We start from the raw sequence: 19,866 nt of genomic DNA on the forward strand, positions 1-19,866 counted from the left end.
CCCCCGCAGCCTCCCAGCCCCCGCCACGTGGGCCCCGAGCGCGCCGCCGTGCCCCGCGCCCCTCCATCTCTACGCTCTGAGCCGCGCGCCCCCGCCAGGTCCTCGCGGACTGGAGGCGCCGGCCCCAGCCAGAAACAGCCGGAGCCAGCGCCGCCGGACTGTGCTGGGCTCGGGCTGAGGAAGCTGAGGGACCCAGTGGCTCCCCAGGCGGCCTCCTGTGAGGGGCTCAGGAGAGCGCCTGCTCCAGAGGCGGCGGGCCCTAGATCCTACAGACCGCCTAGGGGGCCACAGTCGGGCAGTCCAAGGCTGCCCTGCGGCGACCCGGCCTATGTCACAGGATTTCACAGCTGCTAAGGGACTGGCCTCCTCTGCCGTCACCGACACCCGAGAGGGAGCTGCGGGGTGGGGTAATGGTTTAAGTTTGGGGTTCCAGAAGCTTAGGGTGGAATGACAACCCCCCCCCGCCCCGCCCCGCCCCGCCCCGCCCCGCACACGGGACGTGTCTTTCCTCCGAGGGTGACCCTGGGGAGGTCCTTTCACCTGTGGGCTGTCTCCGCACTGCTTCAGGGCCTGTGACATGGAGGGCTGCTGTGGAGGAAGGAGCCTAGAACTTGCTAGACCTTCATACACACCTTCCCGGGAGCCTGGCCTCCCTGCAGAGCAGTCTCTGACACAGAAAAGGAAGGAATTAGCATAATCACCAATTACACTCTCTCCACTAGCTTCCCTGTGAAAATAATTTGCCGGTGCCCAGAGGCAGGGCTCCTCTAAACAGCCACCAGGTCGGGCGACGTGAGGCTCAGGGAATTGTGGAATTAAGCTAATTAAGTGGAAGCCGTCCTCCTGGGGCTGTGTGTTCCTGCGGCTCTGAACGCATCGTCTTACACACAAAAGCAGCTCTAGAAAATGTGGAGAAGGCACGGAGTGATGCCAATGACGAAGATGATTAGAGGGTTGGAAAATGAGATGGATGTCAGATTAAAGGTTAAGGCAACTAGGAGTGTTTAGCCGGAAGGAGGAAAGAATGAGGAGCAGGAGCAGGCAACTTAATCATCTTTTCCCATGTTGCGTGAAGAAGATACCCCTCGGCTCCTTCCCTCCCCGAGACTGCGCTCTCCCGCCCTCACTCCCTGTATCTTTATCTCACGCATATTTGTGTTCTATTTACTTTTCTCTCTTTTGTTTTTTTCCTTCTTTTCTTTTTCTGCTTTTTGTTTGTTTTGTTTTGTTTTTTTCTTTTTCGAAACCAGATATCACTCTTCCAGGCTAGAGTGCTGTGGCACGACCATCACTGCAGCCTCCAACTCCTGGGCTCAAGTGATCCTCCCACCTTAGCCTCCCGAGTAGCTAGGACCACAGGCATGCGCCACCACACCTGGCTAATTTTTAATTTTTTTGTGGAGATGGGGTCTTGCTGTGTTGCCCAGGCTGGTCTTGAACTCCTGGCCTCAAGTGATCCTCCTGCCTTGGCCTTCCAAAGCTCTATTTACTTTTCAATTCATTTTGACCTTTATGGAGCATCTACTCTGTGCCAGACACTTTACCAGATTCTGGATCTACCAATGATGAAAAGACAGGGTTTCTGCCTTGCAGGTCAAGTAGAGAAATGAGTCCATAACCTCAAACTATGCATACTGTAGGACTGTAGTGCTTCAGGTGCTACGGGAGCTCAGGAGCACTGTGGGCTGCTCAGCCCTGTCTGGGCTTCAGGGTAGTTTGATGAGGTGATGCCCAAGTGGAGACTTGAAGAATGAATCAGTGAGCCAGGTGAGGACGGGTGGGGAGAGCATTCCAGACAGCAGAAGCAGCCTGAGCCCAGAATGCCAAATGCAGTGTTTGAAGGCAACTACGGCTGGCCTTTACTGAAGCCAAAAGTAGAGAAGCAAAAAGGGTGGTTCAGGGTGTGGCCAGAGGGCCAGGCAGGGCCCAGATCCTAAGGTCCTGCACCCTGGGATAGGGAACATGAGCTTTATCTGGAAACCAGCACTTCCCAGAGTGTTGAGAATAATATAGGTTACATGCAGCGTTAATAAAAGTTCCAAAATAAATAAAAGGTGCTTCTTGGTAAAATAAGTTGAATTGACCTTGAGTTAAACCAGTGATTCTCCACTAAGGGCTGATTTTGCCCCCCGCCCCCAACCCACCCAGGGGACATTTGGCAATGTCTGGAGATATTTTTGGTTGTCCCAATTTGGGGGTAGGGTGCTATTGGCATCCAGTGGGAAGAGACCAGGGATGCTGCTTATCATCCTACAATGCACGGGGCAGAACCCTACAAAAACTGCTTCCCCCTCCTCAGACTCCCACAGCCCCTGCACAGGCCCTGCAGATTGTTCGTCTCTGTACTGTCATGGTCTTTTCACTGGTTGGTCTCCCTGCTGGACTGTGCAGGTCCTAATGGCTGGGTTCAGGTAGCCAGGATTTGGAGGAGGACAGAGGAAGATGTGGAATAGAGGACATCCTGGCAGGGTTGGATGGAGGCGGCTACACTGGGTGGAATCTGGCTCTTTGGGGATACTTCTGCCATCAGTGTTGGTGGTTGATTCTAGAGGCTGTTTCCATTCTAGCAGCCCCTCACCAGCGGTGCCTGGGGCGTGGGGAAATTAGACCTGACCCTGAGGAGCTGGCCAGGTCAGTTAGAGTCAGGGACCTGCTCTCTGCTGGGCACTGTGAGGGTGCTGGGAAGACCATCCTCTATGGCCAGGTTCTCCCCTGTTTAATTTTTCTTCCCAGAATCTTGTAACATATCTGTTTTTTAGTTGGTTTGCCTGTCTCTTCTCTCTCTCTTTTTTTTTTTTGAGACGGAGTTTCGCTCTTGTTACCCAAGCTGGAGTGCAATAATGCACAATCTCGGCTCACTGCAACCTCCGCCTCCTGGGTTCAAGCAATTCTTCTGCCTCAGCCTCCTGAGTAGCTGGGATTATAGGCATGTGCCACCACACTCGGCTAATTTTTTGTACCTTTAGTAGAAATGGGGTTTCACCATGTTAGCCAGGCTGGTCTCAAACTCCTGACCTCAGGTGATCTGCCCTCCTTGGCCTCCCAAAGTGCTGGAATTACAGGCGTGAGCCACTGCGTCTGGCCACCTGTCTCTTCTCTTCACTCCACTCCCCACCCCCGAATGTCAGCCCCATGAGGGCAAGGCTTTTAATCTGTTTTGTTCATGGCAGTATTCCCAGTGTCTAGAGCAGTGACTGGCATGTAGATTGTGCTCAACTAAAATTTGTTGAATGGGCCAAGCACAGTGTCTCATACCTGTAATCTCAGCGCTTTGGGGGGCCAAGGGGGGAGAATCTCTTGAGGCTAGGAGTTTGAGACAGCCTGGGCAACATAGTGAGACTCTGTCTCTATGAAAAATTTAAAAATTAGTTGGGCATGGTGGTGCATGCCGGTGGTCCTAGCTACTTGGGAGGCTAAGGTGGGACGAGCGCTTGAGCCCAGGAGGCAGGTTAGAGTGAGCTATGATTGTACCACTGCACTCCAGCCTGGGTGACAGAGCAAGATTCTGTCTCAAAAAATAAAAATAAAAATAAAAATAAAAATTGTTGAATGAATGAACATCTGAATCCCTATCCTGCTCTACAGCTAGCTCAGAGTGCCTGGTGCTGGGGTTAAAGTCTACCACGGCAGGAACAAGAAATTCCCAGGAAGTCTCCCTCCTAAAACATGTAGCAGTTTTTCATTATCCAGAGTGATCATTCTGAAATTGCTTTAGGGGGAAAGACGTGGGAACTTCACACTTCCACCCAGGGTGCCCCCTCAGCAATCTGGAATGATGGACTAACCATTAGCTGAGGGAGGAGGGGGCAGGACAGGATGATGCAAAAGGCCAAGCTAGCCGACTGCCAAATGAAATTGTAGTCACTTGACAGGGCAATGGCATGAGCAAAGGTCTCCTGTCTCCCAGAACTGTTGCCAAGCATTGTGACACACGGGCCTAATCGCATCTGAGTGCGGTGCTGCAGAGGAGCGGCCCACGCGGCTGGCAGGGCTTCAGTCACTGCCTGCTTGCCTGAGGAAGCCCATGCATCACGATGGGGGCCAACAGGGCTCCCCAGTTACACACGGGGAGTGAGGACCAAAGCGGGAGAGCAAGTGCCTGCTGGTCCCCTTGGAAACAACACAAGAAAATAAACACTTGTGGGTAGAAGTAGGTGTCCAGGCCTAGTCAAGGTTGCCAGGGAATTTTGTGCTAATGGGGGTTCTGTTTACCCCTAAGGCAGCAGCTTGGGCTGTGAGCAGAGCAAGGCTGTTAGGAATCTGGGTTCAAATCTCAGCTGACCCTCCAAGCTGTGAGTTCCGGGCTGCAGAGGCTAAAGATCTCCAGCTGTCCTTTTGAGCTTTGTGGCCCCAGGAAAGTCATTTATAAAAAGTATGTGTAGGTGAAGGCAGGGCTTGTTATCTGCTCTGCTAAACTACAGATTTATTGGGAGGATCAAAAAGATAAGGAAGGGTGGGTGTGATGGCTCACACCTATAATTCCAGCACTTTGGAAGGCCAAGGTGGGAAGATCGCTTGAGGCCAGGAGTTCAAGACTAGCCTGGGCAACATAGCAAGACCCCATCTGTACAATAAATAAAAATATTAACCAGGCATGGTGGTATATCCCTGTGGTCCCAGCTACATGGGAGATTGAGGTGGGAAGATCACTGGAGCCTAGGAGTTCGAGGTTATAGTGAGCCATGATCATGCCACTGCACTCCAGCCTGGGAAGAGTGAGACCTTGTCCCCAGAATTAAAAAAAAATAATAAAACATAAATAAAAATAAGCTGAAAAAAAGGTAGAGCAAGAGGAAGGGCCTTGAACCCTAAAGTGTGAGGTGTAGGTAGGAATGAGGGGGATGCAGCAGTGCCCCCCAGGATGGGGATGTGCATCGGAAACAATGGCAAGCTCTCCCGGGAGGGGTGGCCTTTGAGTTACCAGTGGAAACCAATTGGCTTCCATGCACACTCCTCACCTGCAGGAGATGCCTTCTTAGTCCCTGGGGTTGTTGGAATTCTACTTAAGGCCTCTTAACGGACAACTCCCTGGAGGCCCAGAGACACACAGATCATATGGGCTGTCTGAATGATTACTTTATTATAGTAAAGTAATTTATTATATAGTATATAATTTATAGTCAGCTTACAGTCATGTAGCATTTTCAATTTGTCAAACTCTTTCCCACAAATGTAATCCTTAAATAGCACCAAAAGCTAGGAATTTTTATGCTCATGTTACACACAGTTTTACAGAAGCTCAGAAAGGATGGGTGAATTTCCCAAAGTCACACAGCCAGTTAGTATCAGAGACAGGCTTTGAGTTCAGGTCTCTGACTGCAGGTTAGTTTGGTGTTTGCTGTGTACATAAGACGGGCGACAGAGCGAGACTCCGTCTCAAAAAAAAAAAAAAAAAAAAAAAAGACTGTTCTCTCCTTCCATAGTTCTGTCCTCGCCTCCTTTTTTTAGGGTCTTTGGTTTGGGGCCCACTTTTTTTGTTTGTGTTGTTTAACCACCCTCCCCTGAAAAATCTAAGCAGAACCCTCTTTCTGATGAGGACACCCTGGAACACAGAATTCTCTCTGGGACAGGCTACTGTTCTAAGAGCTTAGCCTGGGCAGCTTCCTCAGCTGGTGCCATGCCCTTGGGGTGGTGCACCTGGAAGGGCTCCTTACCTAGTCTGTGCTCCATCTGCCAAGAGAATCTGCCATCCTCAGGAAGACATAATTATTCCAACATGTATAGATTGCCTGAGAAGATGATTTCCTAGATCTCCCAGATATGAGATGATGAACACTCTCTCTCCTTAAAATAAGTACAGTTCACTCACTTCCCTGTGGAAAGGGAATTTTGCACTGGGATTCTGAATGCTAGGAATAAAATGAAGGAAAGAGAGGGTTAGTTTACAATAAAGATTAAAATACTCTCTGATGTTTAAAATAACACTTCATATGCTACCAATTCATTTCACATCCATTACTACATTTATTCCTTACAATAGCCCTGTGAGGTATTATCAGCCCAATTTGAAAAATTGGGGAAACTTTGGTTTAAAAGTGCATAGATGACTTGCCCAAGGTCACAAGGCTGACACGCAATAAAGATGGAACAAAGACGTGGCTCTTCTAGGAGTCCAGGGCTTTCACAGATGGCAACAGCTGTTACTTTCCGTAGGTGAAAAGTTAATCAACAATAAATTCAGGCTGGGCGTGGTGGCTCAAGCCTGTAATCCCAGCACTTTGCAAGGCTGAGGAGGGTGGAACACTGGAGCCCAGGAGTTCAAGACCAGCAACATAGTGGGACTCCATCCCTACAAAAAATTAAAAAATTGGCTGGGTGTAGTGATGCATACCTGTGGTCCCAGCTACTCAGGAGGCTGAGGCGGGAGGATCACTTGAACCCAGGAGGTCGAGGCTGCAATAAGCCATGTTCACACCACTGCACTCCAGCCTGGGCAACAGAGTGAGACCCTGTCTCGAGAAAACAAAAGACAAAATTCAAAGGTTGATTAAACGTAGGGACTTCTAATGAGAATCCCTTTAAATTCCATAACATTATTACTTATCTTTTCTCCAAGAATGAGAAAATTAGGCTAAGGCATCTAATTGATGCTCACCACAAACCTATGATCCAATATTATAGCAGGTACATGAAGACGGATGAGAGGTATATATTAAGAGACTCACCAGTCATTGCTTGATGTTGGGTCCATGGGCATTGTCCAGGACTTTGACTTTAAGAGCGTCCAGGCTGGTGTTGTCTCTATGAGTAGTTACAGAGCAATACTCGGTTTCTTACCCAGATGCCCAGAGGAATGTAAGAATAAGTGTAAATCAGCCGGGCACGGTGGTTCATGCCTGTAATCCCAGCACTTTGGGAAGCCAAGGCAGGTGGATCACGAGGTCAAGAGATCGAGACCATCCTGGCCAACATGGTGAAACCCCATCTCTACTAAAAATACAAAAATTAGCTGGGCGTGGTGGTGCGCCTGTAATCCCAGCTACTCGGGAGGCTGAGGCAGGAGAATTGCTTGAACCTGGGAGTCAGAGGTTTCAGTGAGCCGAAGATTGCTCCACTGTACTCCAGCCTGGTGACAGAGCAAGATTCTGTCTCAAAAAAAAAAAGTGTAAATCACAGTCTTCACCTTCAAGGAGTTTACAATTTGTCAGGAAGGTAAGGTTTATTATGAAATCTTTGAATTGTCGTGTACAAAACAGAATGGAATTGAATGCTCATCTGCTTGGTACCTAGTCTGAGAAGGCTTCATGAAGGAAGTAGGTCTTGACAATGGGTAGGACTTAGAGGGAGAGGAAGGAGAAAGGGTTTCCAGTCTGGTGGAGGAGTTACCAAGCAGCAGAAGGGTATTGGGGGTGCGTGGCTCCCAGGGCCACCCTGCCCACACTCCTGGCACTCTGGTCATTCTGCATACATTACCTGGGTCCTTGTACAAGCTAGGTTTTAACTCTCAGCCTTTGTACCTGCTATTTCCTCTTTTGGAAAGAGCTTCCCTCCCTTGAGTTTTTGTCCCACATCTCTCATGCCTTATTTACCTGTTAAACTCTTCTCTCCTGCCACTTCAACTTCGATTCTACCATGAGACTGTCTCTGACCCACTGTGGTGCTTTGTCTTCCTCTTTGTGGCACTAACCACGTGGAGGAATGTTTTGTTAGTGAGCCTGTGTCCTCCACCAGATCATGCCCCTTGAGAACAGGGACTCCTTTCTGTTAATTTTTGTATGGTATTTGTTGAATAAATATAAACAAAAGAAGGAAATATTGAATGAATGAATGAATGAATGAATAAGTCTGCAAAAAGATACTCTCGCTATAGGTTCACCTAGAACCAGTGGTGCCCTGGGCCACTAGATGAAATATGCCTAATAAATTGTACAGAATTAATGATTCTGCAATGAATGATCGATGAATTGACTGAGCTATATATAGATGAGAGTGAAAACACATCATCGCTATTCAGCTGACTTGGTTGACATTTTTGTTTTAACCTTTTTCCTTGAAGTCTGTGAGGCTGAGACCTGGAGGATCAGGAGGAGTTCATCGAGGGTAGGGTGCAGAGCATGCTGAATGGCCTGTGCAGGGGCTGGAGGAGAGACAGCATGGGCTCAATGCAAGTGGTTCAGCAGCAGCTCAAAGGCCATGAGCAGAATCTGGAAAGGCAAGAGAGGAGGCCAGAGAAGCGAGCAGGGGCCAGAACTCCAGACGAATTCAACTGCTTCCTGAGGACAGTAGGATATAATTAGAACCTTTAATTTAAGCAAGGTGTGTTGCAAGACTTTTTTTAAAAAAAGAAAGAGAAACTTGACTGAAATGTAAAGAATGGTTGGAGCAGAATAAGACTGGAGGCTGCTGGGAGGCTGGATTTAAGGCTGTTGCAGAAACTTGGGTATGGGATGGTGGGGGCTGGACTAAGGTGGCAGCTGTGGGGTTGGAGAAGGGTTAAGGAGGTAGAATGGACACACCTTAGTGACAGTAGGATTGGCGGGTGGTGAGGGTGCTGGTGGTGGGAATCTAAGCAAAGGAGTCGAGGGTGATAATGCTAAGGGGTCTGGATTGGGAAGCTGGGTGGATTTCAACTAAGACGAGAGAATCTGTGGGAAGAGGTACAGTTGGGATGAGAGGGAGGAAAGAATAAGTTATTTCCAGGAATTTTTCTAAACATAGGTTTTGTTGAAGGTCTTAATTATATGATATATAGATATAGATATACATACACCTAGATGTTTTCCAATTAGTGTAATTGCAATAATTCAATTAATTGATTTGGTTACTTAATGAAGTTGAAATAGTATGCTTTTTCAATTAATGTAATAACTATCTTTCCACGCTATTATAAACTATGTGCTATTATAGAATCTTCATGAACATTAAAGGGCAAAATGTAAATAAATATGTACGCTGTAAGAGAAAATGAGGGTCAGGTATACTAGTTGAAGGGGTTCCCCTGCTGCACTCCTACAGGAGCAGGACAGCCTCAGCGGCCCACCCCCAGCATCTTCTGGGAGAGGCCTGTTCTTAGGGCAGAGAGTGAGAAGAGCCTACAGCTGTACCCAGGAGGCCCCAGGAGCATCACTACAAAAGGGGCAGGGGACCCAGTGGGAAGTCAACCTCAGGAGCAAGGGCAGAAGGGGCTCAGGGGAAGATCTGTGACTATGAAAGGGATCTGAAGAAAACTTTCCCAACCGACTGGCAAGAGAAAATGACAGTGTCTTTGAATGTATTCTGTAATATCAAAAACGGAATACAAATTTACGGAACTATCAGTGTTATCCACAATCAAAACTATCCATTTAAAACTGATGGAAGTTTTCCTAGTATTCAGCTGTAAAACAACAGGCATCGTGAAGGAGACTTTTTTTTACCACCTTCTCCTTTGTACATTTTGAACCATTCAACTATATATATGTGGGTGTGTGTGTATATATATATATTTATATATATATATATATATATATATATATATATATATATATATCTATCTCCACCTCCTGGGTTCAAGCCATCCTCCCACCTCAGCCTCTGGAGTAGCTGGGACTACAGGCGTGTTTTTAGTAATTTTTGTGTTTTTAGTAGAGTTGGGGTTTCACCATGTTGGCTAGGTGGTGATCTGCCCACTTCCGCCTCCCAAAGTGCTGGGATTATAGGTGTGAGCCACTGCTCCTGGCCACAACAATAATTTTTTAAAAAATTCTCTAAATTTATGTAAATCATTCTCACATGCACTTATTCATTATTATTCAACCATATAAAGACAAGTCAGATCACTAGGATTTTTTGGTATCAAGAAATCCTAAAAAGGAAGGCAGCGATTGTGTCTCACAGTAATTTTATTCAACAGAAAAGCATGAGGCCCATGCCTAGGATAACATTAGATGATCACATATTGAACTAAAAGTAAATGAGTCACAGTGGCTTACAGAGGGAAAGGGCATGGCATGAAATGTACAGGATTTAGATTCCAGTTGGGCTAAACTTCTTGGTGCCTCAGTTATTTTCATCTGTAAAATGAGTATAATTAAACTTTTATAAAGAAACATTATTGGACTCAACCAGGATAACCTCTGGGAAGCCAGCTAGCACCTGTGACCTACAACTCTCTATGTGCCAGTTTGTTGAATCTTAGAAATAATAACTTTTCATGTGCAGGAATGCTTTTGACTACAAATGATGGAGAAACCTGACTGGATGGCTGGGATAAATAGGGGCTTATTTTCCTCACTGTATAACATGTTTCTGGAGTCAGTAAGTCCAGGGCTGGGGTAGGGTGACCAATGTCCAGATTTGCCCAGGATCATTCCTGTTTTAGCATCTTGGGAAACCTCCACATAATTGGTCAGCCTGGGAGTAATGGTCATCAGTTCACCAAGGTGCTTTCTTCTTTTTCCCTTGGCCAGTCTGACTGTGGCTTGCTCCCTCATGGTTGCAAGGTGACTGTTGCACCTTCGGGTATTACATCTGCATTCCAGGTGGGAGGAAGGGGGATGGCAAAAGGATCCAAGGCATTCTCTTAGAGAAGTTTACCTCTTATTCTGGAAAGAAAGTGTTCCTCAAAGACTTCCACTTACAGCTTATTGGCCAGAGCTGTCTCACTAGCTGCAAGAGTAGTTGGGAAATTAAGGCTTTGTTTCCATGCTAGTAGAAGAAGGCTAGGGAAGAAGGCTGGGAGATGCTTTTGGGTGGCCCCTCCGCAGTGCCTGGCCCAGCTTCTCCTCTTTCTTACACCCAGCCATGGTGTACTGAGCACCTGCTATGGGACAGGCACTAAGCTAGAATCTGCGATGGACAGAAAGACGAATAAACGCAACCCCCAGCCTGATTAAGCACACAGCCTGCTGCAGAGGTGACTATGTCAGAGGGCAGCTGTGAGAGGGTAGGAGGTGCTGTGCTGCCAAATCTCCCTGAGCTGCAAGTGTGAATGACAGGATAATATTGAACATGATGTACTTTCCAATAAAGGTGAATACCAAGATATGAGGACAGGACTTGGCAACGAGAAAGCTCCGGAGAGAACAGCCAGCTGGGTGTGAAAAGAAGGAATGTGTGTGTAGGGGTAAGCACCTCTAGCCCCTGAAAATGACCAGGCTGGGGGCCTGCCATGGCATTAGGGAGCCATTGTGAATACAACAGTGTGAGAATGGAGATCTGAGTGACCGTGGGGCACACCAGCATAGAGCCGCAAGAACTCCTTGTGGAGATGAGTCACCACCCACAAATGAAGAGTCCAAACCTGCCCTTGAGAAAAAGAAGACCAAACCTTTGTCTCCTGCCTGAGGATCCTGCTGGGTGCTCAAGCCTCACTTGGCCTGGTTTCCTATCCTTTTGGCCTCTGATGCTAGCCCCCTCCTCACTTTTCAATCTCTCTCTACTTCCCCAGCTCAGTTGCTAAATCCACCGCTAGGCCCAGGTCTGGCCAGCCTCTGAGCCAGGCAGGCCAGAGGCAGCAGCCTCAGTTGCCAGCCAGGGTTGGTGCCTGATGCCAGCGACCTGCTTGGGTTCCTAAGTGAGCGGCAGCATGCTCTGCCTCCCCTGCACTGGTACTGGCCAGGTCACAGCACAGCTGTGGCTCTAACCCCCTCCCAGCAGCCTCAGAGCCATGGGAGCAGACCTGGAATTATCCTGCAGGTGCTTCACGTGAACTCACGGAAACAGAAAAAAAAAAATCACACAAGGTAGGAGAGTTACTGTCATGTTGCCCATGAGGAAATGAGGCCCAGGGAGTCCAGGTGAGCAGCTGGAGTTTATCTGGACACTCAGGGGTCAAGGTGGGTGGTAAGGTAAAGCCCTAGGACTCCAGACTTGACCCAGTGGTTGAAACAAATCCAAGAGTTGCCCCCTTTTTATTTTTTTGAGAATGAGGAAAGCTTCACAGAGCAAACCTGTCCCCTTCTACAACTCCATTGGTTCCTAAATTCTAGATCTGGACAGTATGAAAAATTCAAGTTCTTGAAAAATAAAAATCAATAATGCATTTTTCTTTTGGACATACACAGATGTAAAAGCATTTTTTTAAAGGACTGTGAGACTATGTACAAAGCTGATTGTACATGGCACTTTTGGAGAGAGCCTTCTTCTCAGGGCCATCTTCCGGGAAAAGAATCCATTCTCTGGCAGTTCTCTCACAGCCAAACTTTCCTCTTTGGTTTGATACCTAGTTACTGAGCAGTGGTTAAGGAGGTTCTTCCCATTTCAGGCTACTAGTTCAGAAGGGCTCCTCCATTCCAGGGTATCCATCAAGCAGGGATTGCAAGGATGTCTGAGTGACCAGAGTCTTCTGTAGGGTATGGCTAGCAGGGAAAAAGGGCCCAGTCCCAGGCATTGGGTTACTCAGAAGCTCACCAGACAGAGACCCCAAGAGGCAGCCAACAGGGAAGACCTTACTGTCCACTGCAAAGCCACATTCTGATGACAATAAAAGGACACCCATGCAAGGGCCTGTAAGAGAAGAAGAACCAACATGGATTGTGCTCCTACTTGTGCCAGGCACCAACAGTACCAGGATACCTTGGCTGAGGAGAGATAGTTTGAGGAGGAACAACCTTCTGTTACTGAGCAAAGGGTGGAAGCGGTGAGAACTCTTTATTCACCCACAAACTCTTCTCTGGTAGCCACCTGTCATTGTGTGTGCACTTGCTGGTCTTCGTGTCTTCACATTGCATGCCGTGAAGACACCTCTATTAAAGCATTTTCATAGAAAAAAAAAGAGGTCTTACATTGAGCATCTGATTTAATCTTCTCTAAAAACCTGCAGAGATGGGTACTATTATCCCCATAATACAGATGAAGAAACTGAGACACAGAGAGACTAGGTTATTTGCTCAAGCTCACTTAAGCTCTTAACCACTACTCTATAGCTGCTCTGGAGACAAACCAGAAAACCAAAAAAGGGTGGAGGGGAGAAAACGAACACATACATTCCTCTCAATCATTATATTAACACTTGAAGGTAGGGAGTATTATCCCCACTGTATAGGTGAGGAAACTGAAACTTAGTTAACAGGTGTCCCAAGGTCACACAGCTGGTAAGCATTGCTCCAGGTATGGAGCCCAAGACTGTCAGCCTCTAAGGCCCAAAACCCGATTCCTCAATGACGATTTCCAACCAGGGAAATGGAGCAGGCTTCAGCATAGTTGGCATTGGAACGAAATGCAGGGTTCACTGGACACAGGTGGGAGGGCAGGCAGGCCATGCCATAGGCCTGCATCAACAAAGTCCCAGGCTTGAAAATGCATGGTCTGTCTGTCAATAGAGGAATGGCGCCTAACGACACATTCCTTTAGTACGGTTCTAACTGGACAATAAGATGCCACATCTGACTATTTTGAGATGTGAAAATGATTACAAAATAAATATACATTGAACTCAGAATATAAAACTGTATATACCAAGATGCCAATTTGGTAGAGGTGTGTGTGTGTGTGTGTGTGTGTGTGTGTGTGTGTGTCTACAAGAAAATCTACCATCTTGTTCAGTGGATTGTTCAGGATGTGAGGCTCATGAATAATTTTAGTTTTCTGATTTTACTTTTCTGTATTTCAAACACATTGAACGGTACCTTTACAGCTATGAAAAGAGATCTTATTTGCTTACAAAGTTGCAAGGCACAGCTTTTTCCTGATACCATTGCCAGGGAAAGGATGAACCTCTCCTCATCCCATGGACCCTCCTCCTCTCCTGTCTTGCCAGCTCATGAGTTGATTTTCCAAGACTTTCCATTTGTGAGCTCTTGATGTTTAATTCAACATCGAGGATTCAACATTCAAATTTGTTAAAACAATTTTGGTGGGAGTGGAAGAGATGATGTCCAATGTGATCTGCTTTGAAGACCTCAGGGAGGCCTATAATTTACCCATGCCTGGAATACCCATGTGAAAGCTTTAGGTTTCCCTCAGCTGTTCCCATCTGACCATGGCAAAGTGTGGTTTCCCCTGAAATCCTCAGCAGATGGTGAGCACACAGCCTGTAAGTCTCATCTTGCTGTCTCTCTACCTCACTCTGCCCTTCCATCACTGCCTGTGTAGAAAGCAAACCCTTAAGCAAGCAACTGAAGTTGAAGTTGCTATGATTTTAAAAGCTTTTAGAGACAAAATCAACCTGGAATGTAGTGGTATGTAATGACAAAGTTGACTCCATTTACTTTCGTTCTTATGACTTCATTGTCATATATTCCCGTTTGTATTTGAAGGAGTTTATCACAGATGCTGTTATTTAAGTGTTATTAAAAAAATTCTGAAGCTAAAGAAAAAGAAATCATATACAAGGAATGGCCACCTGGATTGAAACAAAAAAGTTGTTCCAGTTTAAAAGTAGTCCTTGGGTTGACTTAAAAAGAATTCAAACATCCCCTCCCCCTAGATTTAAAAAGTATCTCTCCTTCTCCCCACTTTGTATTTTTTAAAAGGTCTTGGGTTCCATTTTCAAAATAAGTTCTATATTTTTAAGGGTGACACATACCAAGTAACCAGAAACTGGCCTTGGCTTGGAAAACCTCCCAGTTCTCATCAACATGCAATCACTAGCTCCTTTCAGCATGATGAATACTATTGATTGGCTCAGATATGCTTGTGACCCAGCAGGGGTATTAGACATTGGCTATAAAACATCTCGTTATGAATTTTTTATTGGCTTGAGTGTCTGAAGAGCTGGGCAGCTGCCTCCCCAAGTGCTCTCCCTCCCTCCTTGCTCTCCCTCCTCCTCTCTGTGTCTCTGGGCAGATGATGCCACTCTGCAGGGCCACATTATTGGATCAGAGCGATTAGCTTTACAGCCTGTTTTTCCGAGTAGAATCCAATTTCTTTTTCAGGTGCAGTGGGCTTACGAGTAGTCATGTGCTTTTTGTTTTGCGATGGCATCACAGGATTACTAGAAGATGCAGTAAACTGAAGTCATTTCCCATTAGCTGTACTTCTCGGGATACTAAGACAATGTGTCACTCTGCACTTGCAGCATCACAAGCACTTTTCAGGAGAAAGAGTGCCTTCGGCAGCTCAAGGAGAAGCTGACAAAGAGCTGAATTTCTCGTACTGTCCAGATCCAATGGAGATGTAGAAGAGGACAAGTTTGCTCTGAGTGAAGCTTTCCCCATTCTCAAAAATAAAAAATAAAAATAAATAAAGAAAAAGGGGGCAACTCTTGGGTTTGCTTCAGCCACTGGGTCAAGTCTGGAGTCCTGGGGCTTTACCTTACCACCCGCTTCAGTGTGAGCTTGATAAATCCTCAATAGGAGTCTCTGAGAGATTACCGAGGCTCTCAGACAAAGCAGACTCTCGAGAAGCACCGTGGCAGGCACTGCCAAACACCTTCACTCATGATTCTCATCATAACCACAAGAGAGGAGGAACATTGCTCCCACTTTCACACTGGTGGAAACTGAGTAGCTGAGAACCTTGGTAATCACTCAGAAACTCCCATTGTGGATTTATCAAGCTTACACTGAAGTGGGTGGTAAGGTAAAGCCCTAGGACCCCAGACTTGACCCAGTGGTTGAAGCAAACCCAAGAGTTGCCCCCCTTTTTATTTTTTTGAGAATGGGGAAAGCTTCACTCAGAGCAAACCTCTCCCCTTCTACATCTCCATTGGTCCCTAAATTCTAGATTTGGACAGTATGAAAAATTCAAGTTCTTGAAAAATAAAAATCAGTAATGCATATCTCCTTTGGACATACACAGATGTAAAAGCATTTTTTTAAAGGACTGTGAGACTACATACAAAGTTGATTATATGTGGCAGTTTTGGAGAGAGGGAGAGAAAGAAATGGAAAGGAGGTAGGTGGAGATAAGGAGTGATTATGTTATTATAGGAAAAGAGCACTTAGCTTTATCTGTGATGTTCTAATACTTTTTAAAAAGGGGAATGTGTTCATGTTTTACTTTAATCATTGCTTTAACATATATAGAATAAGCATATATAGAAAAAGCAAGTGTATCAAATAAATGAAAAATTTTGAGTCATTAAAGAAAATTCAAGTTCTCATGTTTAGAAATGGGCTTTCTTCTCAATTACACTTTTGTATCTAGGTGAAATTGGGTTAAAATAAACTTCAAGCACCAATTTTGGGGAGAAAATACATAGCACAAGGTCACTGGGTAGTCTGTGGAATGGAGAGGTTAGTGGTGATTGGGCAGGTTGAATGACTGAGGGATTAACATGTGTATATGACCTCCTCTCGCATGTGTGGTCTTCTCTCTGGTTCTGCTTCCTCTGTAAAACATGAAGCGCCTGTGAAAAACTCATAACACAAAGCGAGGAAGAACCTTGAGTCTCTATGGTTGACTATCCCAAATAAGTCTGCCCTCCTTACCCATGGGTTCCACATCAGTGGATTCAAGCAACCGCAGATAAAAAATATTCAGAAAAAAGAGCATGCCTGTCCTGAATATGTACAGACCTTCTTCTTGCCATTATTTCCTAAACAATACAGTATAAAAACTATTTACTTAGAACTTACATTGTATTAGGTATTACAAATAATCCAGACATGACTTAAAGTGTACAGAAGGATGTGCGTTTTATATCAGGGACTTTATATCTGAGGATTCTGGTATCTGCAGAGGTCCTGGAACCAATCCCCCACAGATACCAAAACATGACTGCATTTTGTTGTACAATCAAAGGAGAAAAAAATAAAGTAAAGGAATCAGGAAATGCCATGTTGTAAATGAAAGTGAGAATTCTTCCTGGTTTCAGTCTCTGTTAAGGAAATCCAAATCCAAACTCTACCTGGGAACAGTGGCTAGTTTTAACAAAGTGTATCACTCGTCTCATTCACAGCAACCTGCATACCTGAGCCACGAGGCTACAGTTCCCAAAAACAACTATGCCAAAAGAAACTGTTCTTTGCATCTATCTCCAGAGTGCTTATCACTGTAGCACAACTACACCATTTGTTCTTGAGCCATTGATATAAATTGTTTGGTAAGTTTGAAGAATAAAAACAAATACACACCCACCTAGTCCCTTCTACAGAGGCCAGTTGAGATAAATACACTGAGATGCCTAAGAAGACTATATTGTTTCTGCTCCTAGATATTAGGCATTTTCCTATATCTGCTCCCTGATTTTATAGACTAAAACTCCCAAGTGAACATGAACTTGTCTATTTCTAGACAGAGAGCTTCCAGAAGCTAGTTTCCAAGCCAGAGTGGATGGAAATGTCACGTTGTGGATGTTTCAAAACTCATGAGCCTGACTGACCCCTCTGTTGGAGTGGTCATGATTTTCCAGAGAGCAGCTGTTAGCCCATCCATTTCATGGTTATTACAGACTCCTTGGATGACAGGATCCTTTGCCATTCCTCTGTGAATATCTCATACTGATTACACAGTTTCTGAGCCCTCAGGACTTTTCTGCAAATTTGCACTTATTAGTAAATTTTTAATCAGGGAAGATGTGCAAAATACTGCATTAAACTCAAGGATAATCATTCTGGAATATCATAGTGGGAAGGAATTCCCATTGGTCCTCTAAATTGCCATGTGCACCTACAGTCCTCAGCCTCAGTGGATCTCCTTTTTCTGCTTCCCTTTGTTTTGCCCTCAGGAAGTAACAGCCCTTTGTAGAATTATAAAGTCACCCTTTATAACTATGCTCTCATTAAGTTTTGGAAGGCCTATTTTCCTTGTATCTTTAGGCTTTTCATCATGTAGTAAACAAGCTGAGTATTAGAAATTAAGTGGCTCTTAAGAAAAGGGTCTGATGTAGAGTGGTATTAAGAAGGACAAAGTTCAACCAGTTTCTTTAAAACTACAACTGTGATGATGAGGGCTACGTGGCAGGAGAAGGTCTGAAGTCACATGTGTCTTTGAGGGACGCCGTCCCAGATCTCATGACAAAGATGACACAAGATGACAGGGCATCTGGGAAGGCTGTTTGCATCTGCCTTGCAATCAGTGGGTGAGAGAGTGGGTTGATTCTGATGACTATGGTGAGCTTTTCCTTCCTCCTATTCTAAAAAGGTGAGTGGCCGGATGTTGCATGGTCTGGAAAGTGTCCTTCAAATGAATATCATACATTGTGAAGATCTGTGAAGATTGGATCTTATGAGATTGTATTTATTTTTTTATTTTGGTGGAAAATGTTTTCTTAACTAGTAGTGTGATCATGACACAGAAGTCTATTTCCACCTCCAGCTCAGAGAAATAGTGTGGGAGCAACAGAGAAGGAGCAGAAAATAAACTTTTTCTTCAGGCTTTAAGGAGGGGTAGCTCCCTCCACAGGTCAGCGAATGCCTTTCAAGATCACTTTTGTAACCTCCTTTGCCCTTAGGCCCCTACAGCCAGGCAATTTCACTGCCCACAGAAGGCAGTCCTCATGCTTGCGCTGTCTTCAAGTCTGTCCCCAGGCTGAAGGTTGCCTTCTCTTACTCATTCTGACTCCTTCAAGCCAACCTTCAAATTCAGCTTAGGGATGGATACCTCGCCTTTTATTCCAGCCCCTCATTATTCCAGTTAAGAACCTGTCAGTATGAGGCAGGAGAATAGGGTTTGGAGACAGAGAACATAAGGACTTCCTAGAACTAAATCAAATGGAAACACTTCAGCTATGCCAGGAAATATCCTCTCCATTTACATAGGGCGCAGGCGGAGTAAGTAACTTTGTAACTTTACTTCATCCTCTTCATTTACATAGGGTGTACACCAAGTAACCAATAGAAACCTCTAGAGGGTATTTAAACCCCCCAAAATTCTCTAAGGGGACTCCTGAGCCCCTATGCTTGGGCCCATTCCCAGCCAGTAGAGGATACTTTCATTTTCAATACATCTCTGCTTTTGTTGCTTCATTCTTTCCTTGCTTTGTGTGTTTTGTCCAATTCTTTGTTCAAAATGCCAAGAACTTGGACACCCTCCACCTGTAACAAGTAGACTGATCCCACCTTTAGGCAGAGACCTGATTCATCCCTCCCCCAATTCTTCCTTTACCCAGATACCAAACCTGGCACAGAACAATGGTCAATGATGTTGGTGAACCCAGTTGATTAATTCTGGCTCCACTCTTGGCACAGTTCTTTTCCTTCCTCCTGTTCTAGAAAGGTGAGTGTTACATATGTGGTCTTTTCCCACCTACTGTCTCGTCACCTTTTATGTCTGCACCTCTGCATCTCCTTCCACAGCTCCCAGTTTCCGCTGCTGCTTTGGGAGGTCATTAGCAACTGTTTGTTGACTGGCCCTCAAGAACAGAACATGTCATAGGAAGTTATGTGACAGACAGATCCTAACCTGGACTGGTGTGTAGTTTCAATACTTTGGGCAAACTATTTACCTAATAATGGGTGTCTACAAAAACAACAAGTCAGACAACTCTTTTCTCTCTCCTCCCACCCCTTCCCACCAAATTTCATGAGAGAGTAATCTGTATCTACTGCCTTTATCTCATACCTTGTCCATTTAAATCTGATTTCACTTCCCATGCTCCCTGCACACTTATGCAAACTCTGAAATTGCTCACTGCTATGTAATAGCTTTTCCTGAATTTTATCCTTGCTAATCTTCCTAATGAGTTTGATGCAGCTGTTCTGTTCACGACTGCCTTGAAAATTTTCTTCCCTTACCTTTGGAGTGACTGGAAAACAGTTTGCCTCTCACCTCTCACTAACTTACTTCTCTCTCCTTGTTGGCTCATCTGTGCCTTACTTAAAACACAGGTGTGTCCCAAGATTTCTCCTCAATTCTGTTTTTCTTCATTTTCTGTATTTCCTTTCTGATGATCTCAAGTACCCCTACTATTTCAATTAACACCTCCATGCAGATGTTATCCTAGTCCAGATCTTTATCCCTAGACTAAATTATCTACAGAGTTCTAGTTTCATATTTTCTTTTCTTTTTTTGAGACAGGGTCTCACTCTTGTCACTCAGGTTGGAGTGCAATGGCATGATCTC

General features: G+C 45.4%; 1 annotated feature.

Moving 5' to 3' along the window:
* Nucleotides 16,622-19,169: an enhancer, noted in NCBI's record as "VISTA enhancer hs2089". NCBI's record gives its function as "enhancer in: neural tube[4/10]" and the evidence as "EXISTENCE:transgenic organism evidence [ECO:0001131][PMID:17130149]".

The sequence above is a fragment of the Homo sapiens genome, chromosome 1, assembly GCF_000001405.40.
Source record: "Homo sapiens chromosome 1, GRCh38.p14 Primary Assembly".
Classification (NCBI taxonomy): Eukaryota; Metazoa; Chordata; class Mammalia; order Primates; family Hominidae; genus Homo; species Homo sapiens.